Here is a 25793-nt window from a genome sequence, read left to right as displayed (position 1 = left end):
CAAAGTCAGATTGAGTTTATGACATTATAGTGCAGGTTCTCCCATGCTACAGTGCTGTTCTTTGAACCAAATGCACTATCATACTTGGAAATTCTATCACTACCCATTCCACAGCCCAGGAAGAACCAGGAAGGCAAGTCTTCTACGTCACATTTATTTCATCAGCTGTTTGCCAAACCAAGCTGGTTTCCTTGCTTTGGCAGTTGGTTTCCTTGCTTGGGTCTCACTTGATTTCCAAGTTCCCAGTTTCAGCCATAGACCCTGGCATCTCCACTCATGGGCACCACCCTCTCTTCTGGGTTCAGTGATGATGTCTGCTAATATCTTCCCCAACTGAAGCTGTGCTGTAGATGACATAGTCATATGGATGGGAATAAAAGAAATTTATTCTCCTCCCTGCTGGACAATTTACTAGGCAGGTGACCCTGAGAGTAAAAGCAGTCCTCGTGGTGACGCTTCTACCCTCATGACCCCATCCCAAGATATCCAACAGGAACTAAGGAGGAGATCCATTAGTTGTAGACAATATTCTCTGTGTAGTTTCCACATCAGGAATTTTGCTGTCCTACACTTGCTGTCTATGTCGTACTAGAGGAAGGAAGCTTCCTGCCTTACAATCTGAACCCAAACTGGGTTTTAATAGAGGTTTTGTGAGTGTATGTATTACATTCAGCAAAATATAATCTTAATGATAAAATATGGAAATACTTTGTGTATTTTGATGATTTGTGGGGGAAACAGGATAAAATATTTGAAAGGGGACTATTCAAGAAAATACATAGAGTCACTGTACTTAGACACAGGTGGATGAAACCAATTTTCTCCATCACCTATAACTCAGATTGTTTCTTAAAAGGAATTCCTAATGAGCCCTAGAGAAGGCCATATAGAGGGTGTGGCTAGCATAGTCTCTGCCACAGGGTGAGCACCTGAGACAGTCTTCTTCTCCAGGTGGGTTAGGTGTCAGATGAGCCTATGGAGCAGGAGAGTGAAAAGGGTTGAGGAAATGGCCTGTCACTTAAACAGTGCCTTTGGGGAAGCATACTCAAGTACTTTAGGAAAGAAAACCCAGACAAGGGAGTCTATAAAGGATAGACTGTGTCTGACTCTTGACACTGAATTAAGCCCCCAAAGTAGTGCAAGTTTCTAGAGCACTTTCCAGAGGGAATTATAGGACTCACATTTATTAATGTATTTTAAAACTTTCCACCTTTCCATCTCTTTATCCAACAATTGTCTGTCCCTGATTCCTGAACACTATCCACACCTGATGCACTCTGTTTGGATCTTTGTTTTGATCCTTGTATAAAACTGTCCATACTTGATGCACTCTGGCCCTTTGTCTTGACCACAGAGACCAAAAGAACCTGGCCTAGCCCTGCCTTCACTTGTCCACCCTCTCACCCTATTGCCCCTTGTATGACTGCACCTGCTTCATGGGGTGCTGCCCTGCCATGTTGGGATGAGGGCCTAAGAGGCCTGGGTTCCTGACTACCACAGATGGGCAGGGTGGAGCTCAGGGGAAAGGCTGCTTGGGTAAAGCACCTGGCGGAAGCAGAGATGTCCTTCTTCCTTGATTGTAGAGTTAGGGTCCAGGGTAGTAAGCTGATTGACTGAAGAGCTGTGTCTTCAGGTTGTGGATACGGCCTCCTGATGGCTGCTCTCCAGAGCTGAACTGCAATCTTCTCAACTTTGGGGTCATCAAGGAATCTGGAGGCCTTATGCTTCTGTGCCAAAATAGAGAAAGTTGTAGACATGAGGGAAAGAGATCTTACCCTTTCAGTTCCCTTCCTGGCCTCCACTGCCCTTAGAGATTCTATTATTACACTCCCCCAAGAATGGGCATCTCAGGCTCTGGGAGTTGCAATTTCCTGATGGATGCATGGCTCACAGGAAAAAGCTCTTGTTGGGTGGGCTTTAGGAGATGAAGCATCATAACCTATTACAGCCTATGTTTTCATCAGGAAAATTCCTCTTGCTTGACTCAGAGGAATAATAAAATTAAAATTAAATAATATCATACATCTGAAAGGATTTTGACTAATCAAAAGTGCTCCTCATATGCAAAGGTTTACATTTAGAATTTTGTTAATATGAAATCACTTTTCATTTATTCCTTCCATGGTTTCAGCACTGAGCAAGTTAAAGCATAAGAATCCATCTCTTTAAAACAAATGGCTTTATTTTATAAGAGTCAATTTTCTGAGATAGGGACAAATTCTGTTCAAACAGGGATCTAGGGAGTTCACCTTTTCCATTTCCTGGTTCGGGAAAAACCATAGCATGTCAAATTAATTTTTTTTTTGAGACAGAGTTTCACTCTTGTTGCCTAGACTGGAGTGCAATGGCACAATCTCAGCTCACTGCAACCTCTGCCTCCTGGGTTCAAGTGATTCTCCTGCCTCAGCCTCCCGAGTAGCTGGGGTTACAGGCACCTGCCACCACGCCCAGCTAATTTTTGTATTTTTAGTAGAGACGGGGTTTCACTGTGTTGGTCAGGCTGGTCTTGAACTCCTGACCTCAGGTGATCCACCTGCCTCGGCCTCCCAAAGTACTGGGATTACAGGCATGAGCCACCGCACCTGGCCTAATTTTTTTTTTAAACATTATTTATCTTTAAAGCCCTCTGAAGTACATGGCGCTGCTGTCTTTCTTGACTACCTAGTCCTATTTCTCAGTTGCACTATTGAAAAGTCTTTCCTCCCTATGTCTAATTTAAATCTGTGTTGCAGTAGCCTGATCTTTTTTCTCCTCATCTTGTTATGGAAGAGAAAGTGACATTTCTCAATATTAGGGCATTTTAACTTTTGTTAATTTTCTTTTTGAAAATTAACTTTCATTAATTTTCTTTATAACTTTCTTCTAAGTCCCGGATCCCTTTTTTTTTTTTTTTTTTTAATGAGACAGTGTTTTGCTCTGTCTCCAGCCCAGGATGGAGGGAAGTGGCATGATCATGGCTCACTGCAGTCTCCACCTCCCCAGGCTCAGGTTGTCCTTTCACCTCAGCCTCCCGAGTAGCTGGGACTACAGGCATGCACCACCACACCTGGCTAATTTTTGTATATTTTGTGGAGACAGGTCTCACTGTGTCGAACTCCTGGGCTCAAGCGATCCAACCACCTTGGCCTCCAGAAGTACTGGGATTATACGCGTGAACCACCCCACACCCAGCCTACGTCCTTGATTCTTTATTCCTTCTTTGTGGCCTTCCTTTCCTAGCTGTCATTCTTTCTATGTTCCCTTATTCCCTCAATTGAATTAAGAAACTTTCTTACAATCTCTTATGGTGAGGTTCAGGGCTGATTCTGAGATTTCAGGGATTTCTAATGGGGCTGAGGATGGAGGAGGAAGCCCAGGCTCTGTAGTTCACCATTAGTAGACACAGTTGGGTGGGGAGGCACTTCTTGCCCCTTTGGAAGCACAGGCTTCTGAAGGCTCAAGGCTCAGAGCTAGCTATATTCATGGCCAGCACACCCATATCCAGGTGGGTGCCATCTCCCTTGAACATTGTCAGAATAGGGACACTTACCCAGTCCTGGGTGCTGATGTCATGGGTGTCATGGAGCAGTTGCTCATCCCTAAAGTGGACACAGAGAAGAGTCATTCTGTTACAGGGGCCTGGACATGTCTCCCCAGCTGCCCAGCTCACATCCTTGATTTGAAGTATAGTCAAAGTGGGAGGGTCCAGACTTGAAGGGACACTGACCACCTAACAGGCCCATCAGAGAGGCAGTTGCAGAATGTGGCACCAGAAATCTGGCCCCCTGTGAAGCAGAGCGGATCATGGCCACTGAAGGTCTGTTCATCCAGGGCTGGGAACTGAGTTAGAGAAATGTTTCCATCCCAGGGCGCTGCCACTGGAACAAGTCCCTGGTAGTTCACTTCTTATCTCCATTATTTTGTGTGGGAAATGGGTACAATAAGACTTGAATTCTCCTCATCTCACCCTGGATTTCACCCTCCCTCCCTCCATCTTTTAGGAAGTGGAAAAGCAGCAGCAGCTGTTAGATCCTAAATCCACCTTTTTACAGCCCAGGTAATCAGGTGGGTGTTCCCAGGGCCCTGCAGGGACCTATTTGGAAATCAGGCTTCTGAGGATGAAGGAGAGCATTCTCTAAGCAGAGGTAAGCTTGGCCCTTTTTGACTTTTTGAACCTTAGGGATCAGCATCCAAGGAAAGTATCTCACAAGCCTCTGGATCTCACAGTGGAGGCCATAGTTCCTAGTTCTGGAGTGGAGGTGATGGGCCAGGTTTGGAGAAAGATCAGAGGGAGTCTTCTCTGGGAATGTCTGTATTTAAAGATCCCCAAGAAGATTTGTACCCTTAACGAACTCCGTTTTGCTGCGGGGCTGAAAAAGCATAGAGTGGTTCCAGAAAGACCCCAAGAGTAGTCAGAATCTCCAGATTTCCTCCTCTCCCTGTCTCTTGTATCCACAGCTGAAGGCTCCTCACCCCTTCCATGGGGTATAAAAATCCTTGAATTCAATCTTATTTAATTCTGACTTTGGAAGCTCTCTCTTTGGGCTCAGTCATATATATCCTTGATAATCAGTGGGATTCAAGAGCCAAGAGCTTTGGCACCATACGAGAGTCTCTTAGAGGTATAGAACCTCAGATCTCAGAATTCAAGCCTACCCTAGACTTACTGAATAAGAATCTGTTTTTTAACAAGGGACCCAGGTGATTTGTATATAAGCAAAAGTTTGAAAAGCCCCAATTTGTAAGTTCTTTCTTGGATGAGTGAAGAAAAAAGTTCCAGATATGGCTTTTCTGCTATAATTCTAGGCTCCTGGGTATTTTGAGTATTTTCTCGAAATGCTAGAATTAGCATCTGGGCATTTGAAAACTGTAACTTGACCACCCAGAATAATCATTCCATTCTAGCCTCCCTGCCATTCTATCCCTGTGCCAGCCTTGGGAAGCTGTTCCCCTTTTCTGTACTTGCTGTCTTTACAGACAAGAATCATATCTAGCCGAGGCATGAGAGTGTTCTCAGGCCCTCAACAACCATTCCAAGGGAGAAAAAGAGTCTTCCATCCCTGTCCACGTGCTGTAGACTGAATGCCTATGTCACCTCCAAATTGATATATTGAAACCTAATCCCCAAAGCAATGATATTAAGTTGTGGGGCCTTTGGGAGGTAATTCGCTTATGAGGGCAGAGCTCTCATGAATCAGATTAGTGTCTGTATGAAAGAGAACCTAGAGAATTCCTTTACTCCTTCCTCCATGTGAGGACACAGTGAAAAAGTTGGTTGTCTATGAACTGGGAAGCAGGGCCTCACCAGACACCAAATCTGTTGGCACCTTGATCTAGGATATCCCAGCCTCCAGAACTGTGGGAAATAAATTTCTGTTGATTATAAATTACCCAGTATGGTATTCCGTTCTAGCAGCCTGAACAGACTCAGACACGAGGCAATTGAGCTGGACAGAGGAGAGACTTGCAGTGCTTATGAATGCTTTAAGGAAAGCCAATTCCCAGCTTGGTTGAAGCAGGGGAAGAAAAGAGAACATGGACTCCGGCTGTAAGCTAAATGGAAGATCCTAGGGTGAGACTTTGGGATGAACTCCATATCTCACTTCTTATCTCCATTTTCTTTTGTATGGCAAATGGATACAATGAGACTTGAATTCCAAATCCCCTCCCTTGTTTCCTTTTCCAAACCTTGGAATGGTGCTGTTTTACCTCGAATCCGAGCATCTTCCTGCAGCTGAAAAATAATGAGAATACAGTCAGAGATGATGGGGGCTGGTCTCCTGCAGACCTGCACTGTATTAGCTATAGACTTGGTCAAATGCAGGGATGTCTGTTTGGGAAAATATGGGCTTCTTGGACATGGAACTCCCAAGATTTCTTTCTTTCTTTTTTTGAGATGGAGTCTTGCTCTGACATTCAGGCTAGAGAGCAGTGGTGTGATATTGGCTCACTGCAACTTCCACCTCCCAAGTTCAAGCAATTCTCCTGCCTCAGCCTCCCCAGGAACTGGGATCACAGGTGTGTACCACCATGTCTGACTAATTTTTGCATTTTTAGTAGAGATGGGGATTCACCATGTTGGTCAGGATGGTTGAACTCCTGACCTCAGGTGACCTGGCAACCTCAGCCTCCCAAAGTGCTGGGATTACCACCCAGCCACTTTGGCCACCCTGCCTGGCCAAAATCCCAAGATTTCCAAAAGCACAGTTTGTATTGTTTTTGTATCTCTCACACCAAACCACTTAAGATAATGCCCTGCATACAGCATATGCTCAATAAATGTCTTTTGAATAGTGAATGAATAAATAGGAGCAAGCTGTGCCTCTTTAGGGGTGGGAGACACACAATTCATCACTTACAGTCATAACTATTCATACCAAGGCCTCACATCTTTTATTCTTTGTGGCCCTCTGGCCCTCTGCTATGTCTTTTCTGGGCCCTTTTACACTCCTCATTGAGTCTCCAGTGGTTCTCTGCAGAGAAGCTTTAAGTACGTGTAAAGGATCTTTAAAAAATCCCTTCTTGGCTGAGCGGGGTGGCTCATGTCTGTAATCCCAGCACTTTGGGAGGCTGAGGTGGGTGGATCACCTGAGGTCAGGAGTTCAAGACCAGCCTGATCAACATGGTGAAACCCCATTTCTACTAAAAATGCAGAAATTAGCCGGGCGTGGTGGCACATACCTGTAATCCCAGTTACCCAGGAGACTGAGGCAGGAGAATCACTGGAACTCGGGAGGCGGAGGTTGTGGTGAGCCAAGATCGTGCTACTACACTCTAGCCTGGGTGACAGAACAAGACTGTCTCAAAAAAAAAAAAAAAATCCTTCTTAGGCTGGGCGCAATGCCTCATGCCTGTAATCCCAGCACTTTGGGAGGCCAAGGCTGGCAGATGGCTTGAGTCCAGGAATTTGAGACCAACGTGGGCAACATGGCGAAACCCTGTCTCTACAAAAAAATACAAAAAAAGTTAGCTGGGTGTGGTAGTCCCAGCTACTTGAGAGGCTAAGGGAGGAGATTCACTTGAACCCGGGAGCCAGAGGTTGCAGTGAGCCAAGATCACATCACTGCACTCCAGCCTGGGCACAGAGTGAGACCCTGTCTCAAAGAGAGAGAGAGAGAGATTGAGAGAGACACTGAAATCTATAGAAGAAGAGCCGAGGAGAGCAGAGGAAGAGGTTTTATTTCTATTTACCCAAGATGGTTAGCTCTGGTCTCTAATTCATACTTCCCTGCAGTTAACAGACATACTCACCTAATAAGGCAGTTTACTACATCACTAGGGGATTCTCCCCAGCTTAGTCATTATCAGCATTTCATACAACCACATAGAGTATTCTTGCTGAGACAAGTTCTAGCAGATACAATTTTCTGTTTGTATTATCACATTTCCTCAAGGGAACTGTTAGGCATCTTCTTGCCTTAGCCGCCTGGACTGACAAGTCAGTGGTACTCTTTAAGGGAGAAATCACTAGAAAAATAAATGAAGCTAAAACCTTGGTCAGAGGCAACATCTCAGTAGGGTAAGAAAAAAAATGGGATCAAGGCACATGATGGGGCTGGGGAATTCAGAGAATCAAAATCTAATCTCACCTCCTTTTGTATATCCTTAAAAACTGTCAGCACCTGACAGAAGACAAAAATATAGAAAAAATAATATTGTAGATGATCACTTTATTACAGAGGGATTTCACATATAAAATTAAGTTACCTAGTCTCCTAGCCACTAGGCTGTAGAATGTGAATGCCAAGAGACTGTGGCTTTGTAGCGCTAGCAATAAATCCTCATTGACTTCCACTCTACAGAAACCTCTGGGCTGCAATTTCTCTGTATGGTAAATGAGCAAAATACAGTAAAGTATTTAAAGAAGACTGGGCTGTGCATTGAATGTATAATGAAACCTACTATTATATTTATTTTCGGTCTAATTGGTTCTTATTCTGAAGCTTAGCATAGGTATTCAAATCAACAGGTATTTATTTGCTTGTTGGAGGGTGTGTAAAATCATATGCTCACTTTGGAAAAAGTTCCGGCACTTTCTTTTCTTTCTTTCTTTTTTTTTTTTTTGGCTGTAAGTTTATTCAATGCAAAATAATCCTCTCCAATTTTACTGAGGTAGATGACCACATCCATGAACAAATCCACCTCTAAACTGGAATTCAGTTGCTGACCCAGCCCCAGCCTTGGCTTTCTTGTCGGCACCAGGGGGCACAGCATTCTGTCTGTAGGTATCTCTGTTGGCTTCCCCTCTTGTAAGTCTTCCAGATCGCTAATCCTCCAGACCTTTAGGCCGAGGCCTGCCAGTCTCTGGATGGCTGCGGCATAGAGTGACAGGCACAGACTCCAGGGGCCAATGAAGGTAATCATGGAGATACTGGATACCCTCATTCATAAGGTTCCAGTAGAAATGTCTCCAGGCAAACTGTTCCTTCATGCAGCCTTGGGACTTGAGAGACTGCATGGCCTTCATGATGTGAAGGATGGGCACATTCTTGTCTGCCAGCTCCGGGTGCTTAGGCATGTCGACATCCTTCTTGGCCACCATGACTCTCCTTAAAAAGGAGTTCATAAATGGCAACCCAGTTCTTCTTAGGTATCAACATCTCAGCGGCTATAGGATCCAGGGCCAGGGCTGGCAGTTTCTTATAAAACCAAATATCCACCTACTGTGTTACCCAGCCATGAATGGATCCAGTGACTGTTGGAACTGTGGGTTGTCTCCCTTGGGAGAAAGTGTGAGAACTTTAAGATGGTTGTATCTTGTTTGGTGGAAATATAGTGTATGTAGATATTTAGGAGTTTCAATTTGTATATAAGAGTACATATGGAAGATAAATGGTCAAAGGGGTAGAGTGTGCCAATGATTAATTCGTTGCCTCTCAATGATCAATTCATTGCCCTTTGTTTACTCTTTGTTATAAGTGCCTGATTATTTACTTGTTCTCAACAGGATGGTCTTTTGACTCTTACACAAGCAACTTACTCTTTAGCTAATATAATAATTGTAAGAACATGAAATAGTTATGCTACTGTTCAGCATTGTAATTAAGATTATTTCCTTATGTAAAGAGTCATTGAATGTCACAGAAAATAAAGCATGTTGGACACATTATTCATTTTAAATAATATTGTACAGTGGGGGCTGGCACAAGAGGCTCTGGAGAATTTTACTCATTTTAATCAGAAAGCCATAGCCATTGACTTAATTAACAGTCTTTTCCTGCTCAGTTTCCTATAAGTTCAAAAGTGATCAATTATCTTTTAATTCTCATCTCTATCTAAGGTTTTACAAGCAACTAATATGGTAAGATTGGGATGTTGAAGTAGCTGGTATTTATGTGAAGACCTCTTAGAAACTCCAAGTAAATGTCTGTGTTCTATGAAAGTTCAATTTGCTGTGGGTATCTTATGGGCATTACTAGCTTCTGCACATATATACCCTTCAACTATAAAGTGAAACCTGGCATTTTTATGTTTGTGAATTGAAACCAACATTTTCATGTTTGTGAAAGGCCAAACCTGTGCTTTCAAGTCTGTAGCAATCACTGAGAATTGGGGATTAAACACCCTTAAAACAAACAGGACCTGTGACAGCTTCAAACAAGTGGGTGCCAGGAAGGGGCACTAACATGCACAGACACGAGGAGCTCTGAGGATATGAGACTGCACGAGCAACAGAACAAGGTGGGAGGGAGCGTGTTGATCCTTCACCGTCAATCAACAAACCGCTCAAGGAAAGAGAAAGAAATGTGCTCCTTCCTGAAGACTTCCCCCACCTCCCACCTCATGCCATGCTGTCAAAAATGATTCCTCTGTACTCACCTGGTCCCACAGGGTTTCAGTGATGGTTACCTGTTTTTCCTGTAGAAATAAGGAACAAATGTTGGAAACAATATCCCAACTCTCCCAGAATCTGAAGTGACACATTATGAAACTGGTGGAAGACAAGATGTTTCTTGGAATTGAGCTGGACACCCAAAATCACCCCATTTCTCAGGCAGCCAAAAGTCTCCTGCAGCCCTGGTGAATCATTTCATCCCATATATCCTGCTTCGCTCTGGATCTAGCTGGTGCATGACAGGTACAAACAGACTCATTTGTTTACCATCTTTTCAATGCCTGTAAGCCTGCCTGCCCCTTTAGTCATCTGGTGAAGTGGTGGCATTGGAGACGTTACCTGGTTTGGTAGACAATGACCCACTCCACCAGCCAGTCAAGGGCACCCTGTCCCTTGTCAGGTAGCTTTTTTTTTTGGCCTCCTGTCTACAACCTCTTCTCCTCCCCTCTCCCTAGGAATTAGAAGCCCCAGAGGATCCAGAGAATTTGGATACCTTACCCACCTGTGGTCTCATTGTCTCTTCTATGGATGTGCTGCAAAGAAAGAATGATATAAACCTGATGAGGAGCACAGAATGTGGGCTAAAGCCTTCTCCTAACTCTATTCTATCACTCCTAGCAGGAATTCTTGAAGTTTCTATACTAAAAATCCAGGAAGGGTAGCCACGGTCCTGCCTCTCATATCCCTTTATGGGAGGTGTGGGGAGAGATACTTGCCTCATCTTCCAAGTATCTTGACTATTGTGGAAGCCCTTTGAGAACTCTAAAGCATAGAACAATGGAAGTGAAGGTGATGGACACTGTCATTAAACCTTGTCATTCTCCTGCCTGCCTAATTTATGTCCACTCTCTACCCTTCACCCCGCCTAACCTGTCAAACTTCCCAGGTCCTCTTTGGAAAGTACACTCAATTAGCAAACTGCTTCCTTTTTTATCCCCCGAAAAAGTGTTCTTTTCCTTCGTGACTTCTGATGGGGTGGGAATGGGGATGGAAGGCTGAAGAAGTGGAAAGATTTGCTTATTCTTGGCAGCACAACTGAAGCTCTTATTCCTAAATACCATCTCATTCCTAAATCAGTGCCAAAGTCACCTAGGAGGCAGTGTATACAGATAAACAGGTAACTGGAAGAAAGAAGAAGGGTGAAAGTGAGTGAAATCGGGGCAACCAGTCTGCTCTACCATGCTCGCTGATCCTGAGCAAACTCAGCTTCATCTCCTTGCCCAGGGGTTCCTGCTAGTACAGTTCCTGCCATTACAAAAAGCAGTAAGTTTTTCTAAACAGGGCTAGGGAGGCCAGTAGTCACAGGGAGTCTGGGGACCCAGAATAGAGAGAAAACTGGGCTCTAGATGACACTGTAGTTCAAGACCAGCTTGGGCAACATAGTGAGACCTTGTCTCTACAAACAAAACAAAACAAAACAAAACAAAACCAACAACAAACAAAACAGCAGAAACAACATCAAAAACCCAGTCAGGCATGGTGGCAGGCACTTGTAGTCCTAGCTTACTCAGGAGGCTGAGACAGGAGGATTGCTTGAGCCCAGGAGTTCGAGGCTGCAGTGAGCTATGATTGTGATACTGCACTCTAGCCTCGGCAACAGAGCAAGCCCTGTCGCTAAAAATAAATAAATAAAATAAAATAAAAATAAAAAGACATTGAGCCTACAGATTTCCAGTTAAGAGGAGACTCCTGATGAACATTAATAGCATTGACATCATATCAAATGGCTCAGGCACACAATTCTGCCAGCTGGAGTGCTATTTCTCCATAGAACCTGGCAGAGCTACTACTCATTGCAAATCCAAACCATGCCCCTAATTCTGAAAACATCCTTTTATTTATTGATACATAATAATCACATATTTATGAGGTACATGTGATAGTTTGATAATGCATACAATATGTAATGATCAAATCAAGAGTATTTAGGATATCCATCACCTCAAACATTGATCAGTTCTTTGTGCTGGGAACATTTCAGCTCTTCTCAGCTAACTATTTTGAAATACATAATAAATTATTGTTAATTATAGTCACGCTACTATGCTATTGAACCTCAACCCTAAGCTTGTTTCCTCACCTATAAAACAAGAGGAGTAATCTTTCTCTCAAGGATTTGGGGGATGATTATATGAAAGCATTTGTAACTGTTAAGTTTTTTCAAATGTTCTTATTGTTGTGTGTTATTTTTACAGTGTCCTGTCCACTTTTACCACCAAAAAAAGCATATCTTCATTGGCAGAAAGGCCAGGGCTCTGGTGTGGTTTATGTGCTTTCTCATATAGAAGTCTAGGAGACTCCAATATCTACTCATTATTTTTTCCTCAAGGTCCTGCAGCTGTCTGGAAGAGAATTCATACTCTTAGATAGAGCAGATTCCCAACTTCCTCCAGATTCAGTCTTCTCAATTCCTCACTGGGTCTCAGGCTTGAGGTCCAGTTAACCATTCTGAGCACTTTCAGGCAGCTTAGAAATTTAGAAGTCATTTTTCACTTTCTCTTCCCAAATTTCTACAAACTCTTTGTTTCGCTCTTATTGCCCAGGCTGGAGTGCAATGGCATGATCCCGGCTCACCGCAACCTCCGCCTCCCAGGTTCAAGCGATTCTCCTGCCTCAGCCTCCCAAATAGATGGGATTACAGGCATGCACCACCACACCCAGCTAATTTTTTGTAATTTTAGTAGAGATGGGGTTTCTCCATATTGGTCAGGCTGATCTCGAACTCCCAACCTCAGGTGATCCGCCCGCCTTGGCCTCCCAAAGTGCTGGGATTACAGGCATGAGGCACTGCACCCAGCCCCAAATTTCTACAAACTCTTATCTCAAAACATCTGCTGCAAGTTCAAAGGCTCAAGCCAAGTTCTGATTCCTTATGAAGCTTTCCTGACCCATAAGTTCACAGTAAACCCTCCTTCTTTTCTGACTTCATGGATACCATCACCTGGGTCTCATATTTAGCCTCAAGCAGCAGATTCTAGCCCTCTTTTCCACTGTAGGCCAAGAGAAGCTTGATTTTAGATGGTTGACCTTGATTTACACTATAGAGGATATAAAGGACTTAGGCAAAGTCAATCCTGGAATAAATTAATGTCCCTAGTTTGTATACCCCGCCAACCCCTAGAGGAATTGCAATTGATGCCTGATTTCTAAATTAAAATGACAAAGATTTGCTATTATCTCTTTCATTAAGGAGATGGAGAAGAGGGAGGACACATGAAAGTCCCCATCTTATTCAGCCAGGAAGCAAGTGAAGCCAAATGAAGAGCCATAGAAGACAGGAGGCCCTGGTTCTTCTCCCATAGAGTATAGCAATCTAAGGATGTTTGAGGGTCATCATTAGCCCCATTACCTTCTCTGCTGCTTGGAGGTCATTTCTACCTTTTGTTCCTGATCCTGGCAGGGATGCTGTGCCATTTGTTCTCAGACAGAAACCAAGGACTCTGGAGCTGAAGATGGAGATAGCTCCAGGCCCTGGAGAGGCATAAATGAATATGCGGAGAAGGCAGGTACATGGTGAGAAGAAAAGCGCTTATTCAGTGGAGAACTACCAGCAGTTAATGGAGCATTTGTATTTTGAATGGGTGAGTGTGCATGTGCATGTGTGTGCTTGCATATATGTGCATGTATGTGTGCATATGCATGTACATATGCATAAGGAAAGATGAAGGTAAGAGGAGGGTAAGAGGAAGGAAGTATTTGCCCTGGGTAAAATCTTCCTATAGTCTTTGTCAGTAACAACAGAAATTGCAGTGAGGAAGTAGACGAAAAAAAAAAAGAGAGAATCTAAGTGAAAAATAAGTTGGCTGAGATTGGGGATGGGGGATTGGCCAAAGGGTCTTTGAGTTCAGGCAAGGACAGGAAATAGTGTAGAGTGAATGCAAGATTGTCAAATACCCCACCCCCTCCCACCTCAGTCAGAATTTTCATGGTTAACTAAGGATAGAGGAGTTTCAGGATGGAGGGCCATCAGCTCCAGCCTTAAAGTGCTTTGTAGAGAAGAAGGGCTCATAGGCAGTGGCCCAGACAGGAGACAAATCCTCCTTTGAGAAGTTTCCCTCCCACTTTTCCCACTCCCACCCTTCTTGGCCTCCAAGCCCCAGTCAAGAACGAGGTCAATTATGCCTAGAAACTTACCCTGCTTGGTTCCCCAAATTACACTTTGCCCCACTCCTTCACCCCTAGACTTTTTCCTATTTGAGCCCCATCTCACAACAGCCTCCTGTTCCCATATCAACCTTGCCATTTTCAATACTTTGTGACTTCAGCTGTGACCTCATAGACGGACAACTTGCTTTCCCTCCCAGCCACACACTAGGCTCCATTCAATCCAAACGATAATGGTAAAATGGAGGGATAATGTTGTGGGATTTTAATTTTAATTTCTGGGAATTTTTGCTTCTTCATTGCCTTCTACCCATTGCATTGGAAATCCATTGATTCTTAGAGATGAAAGGAATGAGGCCAGAAGAATCCAGTTTTTACTTTGAATTTCAAAATCAGGTCTGAGAAATCTGGCTTTCAATTTCAAGAGCTAGGTCCTTCAGAGAGAAATGGTTTTGTTGTGAATTCCCAAAGTCTTTGACCTAGAAAATCACCAAAGATTTGTGAATGATCATGGATTTAAAACCATTTAGATTTAGAAGGGATGAAAACAGTTTTTCTGAAGAAAGTATAGGGTTTTAATACGGAGGCAGGAAGTGAAAATTAGGGAAGAGGCATTAGGTGTAGGTGTGCAACTCTGGGACCTGCTTCCTTTTGGTGATGGTGCATATAAAATATCCCAATATGTCTAGAAATCTAAGAACAGAAGGAACCAAGGGCCAGCTTCTCCCTTGAAACTAGACCCCTGGAGGAGCAGCCTCAGAGAGAGCACTGTGCCTACATGGGGAGGTCGTGGTGAAGTGGGAATTGTGGTATAGCGTGTTTAGGCAGACAGGACCTGAGATAGTACCTTTCAGGTCCCATAGCCTGCCCAGGTGATGGTGGGAAAACTCCTCATGCAGAAATGCAGAGTGGAGAAGGAGAGGGCTAAAATCTAAAGAGGACTCACAAATCATGCAACCTGCGACAAAATGCCAGGGTATGTACAACAGATGGAGGTGTCAACATTGGCTCGGCGCTCCACCTGTCTTTAGCAGACTTTAAAGGAAAGGCATACTGTCCCATCCCTTGTTTTGATTTTAGAGCTCCAGGTGCTACTAGTGAGACCACCATGGACCCTCTCTGCACACCACCTTCTTACTATCATGAAGTGCTTCAAATTAGACTCTGATTAGAGGTTACTCTCTCCCACCCTCTAAGAGACCAGCAGGGCCATTTCCATCATAATCTACCTTTTTATTTACCTCAGTTTCCATAAGGAGTCTAAGCTCCTCCCTTTATCATCTCACATCACAGGGACTTTTACCCTTTCATGGCCAGATGTATCTCATAATCCAACTCAATTCCTACCTCTCTCAAACCACCCCAAGTCTTTTGCTATCCAAAAGTCATTTTTTTTAAAAAAAAAACTCTATTTTTATTTTGGATTCAGAGGATACACATGTAGGTTTGTTACAAGGATATATTGCTGAGGTTTGGGCTTCTATTGATCCTGTCACCCAGACAGTGAGCATAGTACCCAATAGGAAGCTTTTCATCTTTGCCCCCTCCCTCCCTTCTTTTGGAGTCTATTGTTCCCATCTTTATGTCTGTGTGAGTGTAGCTTCCACTTACAGGTGAGAACATGTGGTATTTGGTTTTCTGTTTCTGTGTTAGCTTGCCTGGGATAATGACCTCCATCTACATCCATGTTGTTGGAAAGAATATAATTTCATTATTTTTTATGGCTGCATTGTATTTCATGGTGTATTCCATGAAGAGAAATGTACCACACTTTATCCCATCCATGATTGATGGGCACCTGGGTTGATTCCATGTCTTTGCTATTGTGAATAGTGCTGCGATAAACATACAAGTACATGTGTCTTTTTGTTAGAATGATTAATTTTCCTTTGGGTATATCCAAAGTAATGAGATTGATGGGTCAAATGGAAGTTCCATTTTTAGTTCTTTGAGAAATGTTCAAACTGGTTTCTATAGGGGCCGAACTAATTTGCATCCCCACCAGCAGTGTATAAGCCAGCATCTGTTATCTTTTGACTTAATAATGGCCATTCTGACTGGTGTGAGATGAGATGTCTCATTGTGATTTTGATTTGTATTTCTCTGATAATTAGTGATGTTGCACATTTTTTCATATATTTGTTGGCTTAGTTAAACAGTTTTGCACAGCAAAAATTCTCAACAGAGTAAACAGATAAGCTATAGAATGGGAGAAAATATTTGCAAACTATGCATCTGACAAAGGACTAATATCCAGAATCTATAAGGAACTTAAACAAATAAACAAGAAAAAACCAAACAACTCAATTAAAAATTGGACAAAGGACATGAACAGACACTTCTTAAAAGTAATTTTTTTGTGAAACAATTTGTTTTATACATTCCTGAGTTTCAACCATACATTCTTTTTACAATACAACAAACAAAACACTGAAAGATATTCAAAACAAGGTTCCAAGGTTGGCCCAACTTGATTGTTTGGATATTTGTGTTTTTGGTAACTTTATAACTTTTTTAAATGAAGCTTTTAATGAAGATATACCAGGGTCTTGCTTTAAGACCGAAAGTATCCAAACCTAGTGTTACATTATATATATATATAAAATAAGAAAAGCTATTCTATCAGGTAACAAAAATGAAGCTTCTCCCTCACCTAGCAGTTCATCTGGAATCCATCTTGAAAAGATCAATGGCCTGTTGGACTTAAAGAAGCCATCCCCCAAAAAATTGTATGAAAAGATCTATTGAAACTTATCAATGACAAACAGACATGAAACTCAAAGTTTGGCTCGTCTGAGGGGCAGGAGAAAAATGGGTGCAGATGTTCTTTTATACAGATGAAACATGGGTTCAGAAATTACATGTCACTTATGAAGCAACCAGAGAGGGACACAAAAGCAACTGTACATTCACTAGGAATTGCAATCATTTCAGATTTCCACTAGGTAAGAAAATAAAATTTTGCATTAGTTTTTCCGTGCTCGGGTGTATGAAAAAAAAAAACAAAACAAAACCCAGCTGACATGTAGCAACGCCTCCAGCACTTAGGTCCCTAAAAATGTTCTTTTTTAAATATATATTTTATTTTATTATTATTATACTTTAAGTTTTAGGGTACATGTGCACAACGTGCAGGTTTGTTACATATGTATACATGTGCCATGTTGGTGTGCTGCACCCATTAACTAGTCATTTAGCATTAGGTATATCTCCTAATGCTATCCCTCCCCACTCCCGCCACCACACAGCAGTCCCCAACGTGTGATGTTCCCCTTCCTGTGTCCATGTGTTCTCATTGTTCAATTCCCACCTATGAGTGAGAATATGCGGTGTTTGGTTTTTTGTCCTTGTGATAGTTTGCTGAGAATGATGGTTTCCTGTTTCATCCATGTCCCTACAAAGGACATGAACTCATCATTTTTTATGGTTGCATAGTATTCCATGGTGCATATGTGCCACATTTTCTTAATCCAGTCTATCATTGTTGGACATTTGGGTTGGTTCCAAGTCTTTGCTATTGTGAATAGTGCCGCAATAAACATACGTGTGCATGTATCTTTATAGCAGCATGATTTTTAATCCTTTGGGTATACAGTAATGGGATGGCTGGGTCAAATGGTATTTCTAGTTCTAGATCCCTGAGGAATCACCACACTGACTTCCACAAGGGTTGAACTAGTTCACAGTCCCACCAACAGTGTAAAAGTGTTCCTGTTTCTCCACATCCTCTCCAGCACCTGTTGTTTCCTGACTTTTTAATGATTGCCATTCTAACTGGTGTGAGATGGTATCTCATTGTGGTTTTGATTTGCATTTCTCTGATGCACAGTGATGGTGAGCATTTTTTCATGTGTTTTTTGGCTGCATAAATGTCTTCTTTTGAGAAGTGTCTCCTTGAAGATGTCCTTCACGTCCCTTGTAAGTTGGATTCCTAGGTATTTTATTCTCTTTGAAGCAATTGTGAAGGGGAGTTCACTCATGATTTGGCTCTCTGTTTGTCTGTTATTGGTGTATAAGAATGCTTGTGATTTTTGTACATTGATTTTGTATCCTGAGACTTTGCTGAAGTTGCTTATCAGCTTGAGGAGATTTTGGGCTGAGATGATGGGGTTTTCTAGATATACAAACATGTCATCTGCAAACAGGGACAATTTGACTTCGTCTTTTCCTAATTGGATACCCTTTATTTCCTTCTCCTGCCTGATTGCCCTGGCCAGAACTTCCAACACTATGTTGAATAGGAGTGGTGAGAGAGGGCATCCCTATCTTGTGCCTGTTTTCAAAGGGAATGCTTTGAGTTTTTGCCCGTTCAGTATGATATTGGCTGTGGGTTTGTCATAGATAGCTCTTATTATTTTGAGATAAGTTCCATCAATACCTAATTTATTGAGAGTTTTTAGCATGAAGCATTGTTGAATTTTGTCAAAGGCCTTTTCTGCATCTATTGAGATAATCATGTGGTTTTTGTCTTTGTTTCTGTTCATATGCTGGATTACATTTATTGATTTGTGTATGTTGAACCAGCCTTGCATCCCAGGGATGAAGCCCACTTGATCATGGTGGATAAGCTTTATGATGTGCTGCTGGATTCGGTTTGCCAGTATTTTATTGAGGATTTTTGCATCAATGTTCATCAAGGATATTGGTCTAAATTTCTCTTTTTCGGTTGTGTCTCTGCCAGGCTTTGGTATCAGGATGATGCTGGCCTCATAAAATGAGTTAGGGAGGATTCCCTTTTTTTCTATTGATTGGAATAGTTTCAGAAGGATTGGGATCATCTCCCCTTTGTACCTCTGGTAGAATTCGGCTGTGAATCCATCTGGTCCTCAACTTTTTTTGGTTGTTAAGCTATTGATTATTGCCTCAATTTCAGCTCCTGTTATTGGTCTAGTCAGAGATTCAACTTCTTCCTGGTTTAGTCTTGGGAGGATGTATGTGTCGAGGAATTTATGCATTCCTTCTAGATTTTCTAGTTTATTTGCGTAGAGGTGTTTATAGTATTCTCTGATGGTAGTTTGTACTTCTGTGAGATTGGTGGTAATATCCCCTTTGTCATTTTTTATTGCATCTATTTGATTCTTCTCTATTTTCTTCTTTATTAGTCTTGCTAGAGGTCTATCAATTTTGTTGATGTCTTCAAAAAACCAGCTCCTGGATTCATTAATTTTTTGAAGGGTTTTTTGTGTCTCTATTTCCTTCAGTTCTGCTCTGATCTTTGTTATTTCTTGCCTTCTGCTAGCTTTTGAATGTGTTTGCTCTTGCTTTTCTAGTTCTTTTAATTGTGATGTTAGGGTGTCAATTTTAGATCTTTCCTGCTTTCTCTTGTGGGCATTTAGTGCTATAAATTTCCCTCTACACACTGCTTTGAATGTGTCCCAGAGATTCTGCTATGTTGTGTCTTCGTTCTCATTGGTTTCAAAGAACATCTTTATTTCTGCCTTCATTTCATTATTTACCCAGTAGTCACTCAGGAGCATGTTGTTCAGTTTCCATGTAGTTGAGTGGTTTTGAGTGAGTTTCTTAATCCTGAGTTCTAGTTTGATTGCACTGTGGTCTAAGAGATAGTTTGTTATTATTTCTGTTCTTTTACATTTGCTGAGGAGTGCTTTACTTCCAACTATGTGGTCAATTTTGGAATAGGTGTGGTGTGGTGCTGAAAAGAATGTATATTCTGTTGATTTGGGATGGAGAGTTCTGTAGATGTCTATTAGGTCCGCTTGGTGCAGAGCTGAGTTCAATTCCTCGATATCCTTGTTAACTTTCTGTCTCATTGATCTGTCTAATGTTGACAGTGGGGTGTTACCATCTCCCATTATTATTGTGTGGGAGTCTAAGTCTGTTTGTAGGTCTCTAAGGACTTGCTTTATGAATCTGGGTGCTCCTGTATTGGGTGCATATATATTTAGGATAGTTAGCTCTTCTTGTTGAATTGATCCCTTTAGCATTATGTAATGGCCTTCTTTGTCTCTTTTGATTTTTGTTGGTTTAAAGTCTGTTTTATCAGAGACTAGGATTGCAACCCCTGCCTTTTTTTGTTTTCCATTTGTTTGGTAGATCTTCCTCCATCCCTTTATTTTGAGCCTATGTGTGTCTCTGCACGTGAGATAGGTTTCCTGAATACAGCACACTGATGGGTCTTGACTCTTTATCCAATTTGCCAGTCTGTGTCTTTTAATTGGAGCATTTAGCCCATTTACATTTAAAGTTAATATTGTTATGTGTGAATTTGATCCTGTCATTATGATGTTAGCTGGTTATTTTGCTCGTTAGTTGATGCAGTTTCTTCCTAGCCTGGATGGTCTTTACAATTTGGCATGTTTTTGCAGTGACTGGTACTGGTTGTTCCTTTCTATGTTTAGTGCTTCCTTCAGGAGCTCTTTTAGGGCAGGCCTGGTGGTGACAAAATCTCTCAGCATTTGCTTGTCTGTAAAGGATTTTATTTCTCCTTCACTTATGAAGCTTAGTTTGGCTGATATGAAATTCTGGGTTGAAAATTCTTTTCTTTAAGAATGTTGAATATTGGCCCCCACTCTCTTCTGGCTTGTAGAGTTTCTGCCGAGAGATCAGCTGTTAGTCTGATGGGCTTCCCTTTGTGGGTAACCCAACCTTTCTCTCTGGCTGCCCTTAACATTTTTTCCTTCATTTCAACTTTGGTGAATCTGACAATTATGTGTCTTGGAGTTGCTCTTCTCGAGGAGTATCTTTGTGGCGTTCTCTGTATTTCCTGAATCTGAATGTTGGCCTGCCTTGTTAGATTGGGGAAGTTCTCCTGGATAATATCCTGCAGAGTGTTTTCCAACTTGGTTCCATTCTCCCTGTCACTTTCAGGTACACCAATCAGATGTAGATTTCGTCTTTTCACATAGTCCCATATTTCTTGGAGGCTTTGTTCATTTCTTTTTATTCTTGTTTCTCTAAACTTCTCTTCTTGCTTCATTTCATTCATTTCATCTTCCATCACTGATACCCTTTCTTCCAGTTGATCGCATCAGCTAGTGAGGCTTCTGCATTCATCATGTAGCTCTCGTGCCATGGTTTTCAGCTCCATCAGGTCCTTTAATGACTTCTCTGCATTGGTTATTCTAGTTATCCATTCATCTAATTTTTTTTTCAAAGCTTTTAACTTCTTTGCCATTGGTTCAAGTTTCCTCCTGTAGCTCAGAGTAGTTTGATCTTCTGAAGCCTTCTTCTCTCAACTCGTCAAAGTCATTCTCCATCCAGCTTTGTTCTGTTGCTGGTGAGGAGCTGCATTCCTTTGGAGGAGGAGAGGTGCTCTGATTTTTAGAGTTTCTGGTTTTTCTTCTCTTTTTTTCCCATCTTTGTGGTTTTATCTACCTTTGTTCTTTGATGATGGTGACATACAGATGGGTTTTTGGTATGGATGTCCTTTCTCTTTGTTAGTTTTCCTTCTAACAGACAGGACCCTCAGCTGCAGGTCTGTTGGAGTTTGCTAGAGGTGCACTCCAGACCCTGTTTGCCTGGGTTTCAGCAGCAGTGACTGCAGAACAGCGGATATTGGTGAACCGCAAATGCTGATGCCTGATTGTTCCTCTGGAAGTTTTGTCTCAGAGGAGTACCCGGCTGTGTGAGGTGTCAGTCTGCCCCTACTGGGGGGTGCCTCCCAGTTAGGCTACTCAGGGGTCAGGGGCCCACTTGAGGAGGCAGTCTGCCTGTTCTCAGATTTCAAGCTGCGTGCCGGGAGAACCACTACTCTTTTCAAAGCTGTCAGACAGGGAAATTTAAGTCTGCAGAGGTTACTGCTGTCTTTTTGTTTGTCTGTGCCCTGCCCCTAGAGGTGGAGCCTACAGAGGCAGGCAGGCCTCCTTGAGCTGTGGTGGGCTCCACCCAGTTCGTGCTTCCCGGCTGCTTTGTTTACCTAATCAAACAACTAACTTGGCAATGGCGGGCGCCCCTCCCGCAGCCTTGCTGCCACCTTGCAGTTTGATCTCGGACTGCTGTGCTAGCAATGAGCGAGACTCTGTGGGCGTAGGACCCTCCGAGCCATGTGTGGGATATAATCTCCTGGTGTGCTTTTTTTAAGCCCATTGGAAAAGCGCAGTACTAGGGTGGGAGTGACCCGATTTTCCAGGTGCCATCTGTCACCCCTTTCTTGGACTAGGAAAGGGAATTCCCTGACCCCTTGCACTTCCTGGGTGAGATGATGCCTCGCCCTGCTTCGGGTCATGCACTGTGTGCTGCACCCACTGTCCTGCACCTACTGTCTGGCACTCCCCAGTGAGATGAACCCAGTACCTCAGTTGGAAATGCAGAAATCACCTGTCTTCTGTATCGCTCATGCTGGGAGCTGTAGACCAGAGCTGTTCCCATTCGGCCATCTTGGCTCCTCCACCTGGCTCCATAAAATTGTTCTAAGCACAGAAATACATGTAGAAGAATTCTCTCATCATTTTTGTAAAACAAAGCATTCTAATATTTTACAGAACAAGATAGGACAGTTTTTTTTTCTTGTAAAGAAGTTGAAGTTTGAGGGTTTGTTTCTTCACTTTTAATTATTATTACCAAATCCATTTTCCTTGTAACTCACAAGACTGCCATTTTCAGCTCTCTGGCTCTTAAGCTCTCAAGAGTAACATCTGAGTCCTCTTTGTAGAAGGAAGCCCACCACGATCTGTGAAGGGGGAAAAGGGATGAGAGATGGGGAATGTCCCCAAACCAGTGCCAAAATACACCTTTAGGTTGCTATTTACAAACCAGGGTGTTGGATGCCTCTAGCAGTTCCGCGAAAAGCATGTGAATCAAAGCAAAAGCTATGGCTGGTGCTCAGACCCTTCTGGGTGTTGAGTAACCAAACTGAGACCAGCCGCGGACTTCCACCCAACCTGAGACTTGGAAAATACCAGGAAACATAAGAGAACTCCAAACCATCTTCTTTGAGAGCCAGGAACAAATGCTTAGTGTGTACTTAACTATTGCATTTACAGGGACAAAAACTGGACACAAGGAAAAAGTAGGGGGAAAAAATAAAGAGTGGCAGTAAAAATAGTATTTTATTCCACCCCCTCCTCCCCTCCCTTCCCTCACAACCCCCAGTACACTTTTCCTCTCTTGCTCCCACAGCAACGTTACAATCAGAAAAAAATAAGTTTCAGGGGGCAGGATTGGAGTGGGGGAGGGGATACGGCTAAAAACAGTAAAATCACAAAAGGAATTTTTCAAAATAGATTATTCCACTTAGGCATCGTCTTCTCCCTCATCTTCAGTTTCTTATTTTCGCTTCTGACCCCTTTCTTCTTCACCAAGCTCTTCTTCATCTTCCTCATCATCTACCTCTCCATTGTTATAACCTTCATCCTTCTCCTCCTCGTCTCCACTCACGTCCTCCTCTTCACGTTCCTCCTCCTCATCCTCGTCCTCCTCATCTTCCATTACCTGAGCATCTTCATCATACTCCTCCTCATCCTCATCCTCCTCCTTGTCATCCAGGCACTCCACAAAGCCCTCACCATCCGAGTTAGGGGCCTCCTTGTCATCCGGGTCACAGCCGTTGAGATATGTGAGTTGCAGGAGGAGCTTGAACATCTTTTCTCAGTAGTTGTTCAGGTTGGTTACCTCGCAAGTGAAAAGGTCTAAGCTCTCGAGGTTTTCTAACTTTTTCAGGGGCTCTATTGTGCTGAGGTCTTTAATTTTGTTGCCACTTAAATTTAGATGTATGAGGTTTGGACACTTTTCTGCCAATACTTCTAGGCCCACTGAGGCTCTGTTACTGCTTAGTTCAAGCTTCTTAAGTTTGTTTAACTTTGGCAAGTTTGCAATTGAGGTGAGGCCTATGTTGATTGTATTTAATAATTCCAGTTCTTCAAATTCATCTGTGAGGCCTTCCAATTTGCCTTCATTTGACTGACTGTTGTCCAGGAAAAGTTCTTTCACATCGGAGGGCGTCCTGTTCCGCAGCTCTAAATGAATCCATTTGCCCATCTCCATCTCTCACGCTTTCTCTGCAGAGGCTCCTGAGCCAGCGGAATTCAACCAATAAACCCCGAACCCACAACCGCACATTTGAAAGCTCAACCAGCTCTGCTGGGTTCTCCGAAAGTAAATTCTTAATTCCAAACACACCCAAAATCTATTATCTCCCATCACATTAAATTGTGCTATCATTCACCCAGTTGCTCCAAAACCTTAGAATAATGACTACTTCCTCTATTTTTCTATTTTACATCAGATAGATGTATTGGCTGTACCTTTACAGTGTATCCTAAATCTGATCACTTCTCATCATCTCTAGGCCACGCCATAGTATATATCTCACGGACTGTTGTCAAAGCCTCCTAACTAGATCATTCTTATCTTCCTGCAGCAGCCAGAATGCTCATTTTAAAATGCAGAAAACCCTAAAGACTCTGCCAAAAGGTTAATAGAGCTGATAAACAGTTTTAGTAAGATTTCAGGATACAAAATCAATATACAAAACTAGTAGCATTTCTATACACCAATAGTATTCAAGCTGAGAATAAATCAAGAACACAACCCCATTTACAATAGCCACAAAGAAAATGAAATACCTAGGAATACAGCTAACCAAGGAGAGGTGAAAAATTTCTACAAGGAGAACTACAAATCACTGCTCAAAGAAACCAGAGATGGCACAAATAAGTGGAAAAACATCCCATGTTCATGAATTGTAAGATCAATATTATTAAAACGGTCATATTCCCCAAAGTGGCTTACAGATTCAACACTATTTCTATCAAATTACCAATGTCATCCATCACAGAATTAGAAAAAAACTACTCTGAATTCACGTGGAACCAAAAAATAGCCTGAATAGCAAAAGTAGCCCCAAGTAAAAAGAACAAAGCCAGAGACATCACACTACCTGACTTCAAACTATCCTATAAAGCTATAGTAACCAAAACAGCATGGTATCGACACAAAAACAGACACATAGACAAATGGAACAGAATAGAAACTTCTGAAATAAAGCCTTACACTTAAAAATATCTGATCTTTGACAAGACCAAGAAAAACAAGCAATGGGGAAAGGACTTTCTTTTCAATAAATGGTGCTGGGATAACTGGCTAGCCATATGCAGAAGAATGAAACCAGACCCTTACCTTTCACCATACATAAAAACTAACTGAAGATGGATTAAAGTTTTAAATGCAAGACTTCAACCTATAAAAATCCTAGAAAATATGCCCCAAAGAAAGGAAATTAGTATATAGAAGAGATATCTGCACTCCTATGTTGGTTCCAGCACTGTTTACTAAGATTTGGAAGCAACCTAAATGTCCATCAGCAGATGGATGGATAAAGAAAATGTGGTGCATATACACAATGGAGTACTCGTCAGCCATAAAAATAATGAGATCCAGTCACTTGCAACAACATGAATGGAACTGGAGTTTATTATGTTAAGTGAAATAAGCCAGGCACAGAAAGACAAACATTGCATGTTCTCACTTATTTGTGGGATCTAAAAATCAAAACAATAGAACTCATGGAGGAGGGGCTGGGAAGTGTAGTGGGGGCTGTTGGGGGGAGATGAGGATGGTTAATGGGTACAAAAAAATAAAAAGAATGAATAAGACCTACTATTTGATAGCACAACAGGGTGACTATAATAAAAATAACTTAATTGTACATTTAAAAATAATTTAAAGAGTGTAATTGCATTATTTGTAACTTGAAAGATAAATGCTTCTGGGGATGGATACTCCATTATCCATGATGTGCTTATTTCACATTGCATGCCTGTATCAAAACATCCCATGTACGCCATAAGTATATATATCTAATATGCACCCACAAAATTTTAAAAAATTAAAAAAGAATAAATAAACATAAAAATTGAAAACAAATTCTAGAAGAAAACCTAGGAAATGCCCTTGTTGACATCAACCTTGGCAAAGA

At 42.2% G+C, this 25793-nt stretch overlaps 2 protein-coding genes and 1 pseudogene across 5 annotated transcripts in view, besides 1 other annotated feature; all 3 read right to left on the bottom strand.

Moving 5' to 3' along the window:
• The window catches only part of C12orf54 (chromosome 12 open reading frame 54), an 83371-nt gene continuing 57578 nt past the window's right edge, over positions 1-25793 (bottom strand). The window contains exons 5-13 of one of the 4 annotated variants that reach the window (XM_017018796.2): positions 22464-22547; positions 22196-22287; positions 10317-10347; positions 9799-9837; positions 7569-7601; positions 5689-5713; positions 3530-3578; positions 1546-1727; positions 1-344 (exon numbers count right to left, since the gene is read on the bottom strand). In XM_017018796.2, the coding sequence (XP_016874285.1) occupies positions 1586-1727; positions 3530-3578; positions 5689-5713; positions 7569-7601; positions 9799-9837; positions 10317-10347; positions 22196-22278 (402 nt within the window). In that variant the 5' untranslated portion in view covers positions 22279-22287; positions 22464-22547 and the 3' untranslated portion in view covers positions 1-344; positions 1546-1585. Of the gene's footprint in view, positions 345-1545; positions 1728-3529; positions 3579-5688; positions 5714-7568; positions 7602-9798; positions 9838-10316; positions 10348-13163; positions 13286-13948; positions 14028-22195; positions 22288-22463; positions 22548-25793 lie in introns of those variants that run through there. The other 3 variants (NM_152319.4, XM_005268636.4, XM_011537896.3) reach the window with 3 other exon arrangements.
• Positions 7342-7401: an enhancer, noted in NCBI's record as "active region_6284". NCBI's record gives its function as "activates an Ori minimal core promoter by ATAC-STARR-seq in GM12878 lymphoblastoid cells {active_cell/tissue: GM12878}" and the evidence as "EXISTENCE:reporter gene assay evidence [ECO:0000049][PMID:35858748]".
• RPS10P20 (ribosomal protein S10 pseudogene 20) lies at positions 8038-8612 on the bottom strand (annotated as a pseudogene).
• Positions 22903-23966, bottom strand: ANP32D (acidic nuclear phosphoprotein 32 family member D). The gene has a single exon (NM_012404.3). The coding sequence runs from the start codon at positions 23858-23860 to the stop codon at positions 23465-23467; it is 396 nt and encodes a 131-aa protein (NP_036536.2). The 5' UTR covers positions 23861-23966; the 3' UTR covers positions 22903-23464.

Source organism: Homo sapiens, chromosome 12 (genome assembly GCF_000001405.40).
Source record: "Homo sapiens chromosome 12, GRCh38.p14 Primary Assembly".
In the NCBI taxonomy this organism is placed as follows: Eukaryota; Metazoa; Chordata; class Mammalia; order Primates; family Hominidae; genus Homo; species Homo sapiens.
Note: the sequence above shows the minus strand (reverse complement) of the source record. Positions and strands in the feature narration are given on the sequence as shown.

Coding starts and splice junctions, on each gene's coding strand:
- ANP32D (NM_012404.3), bottom strand. CDS start 23,860: ATGGAGATGGGCAAATGGATTCATTTAGAGCTGCGGAACAGGACGCCC.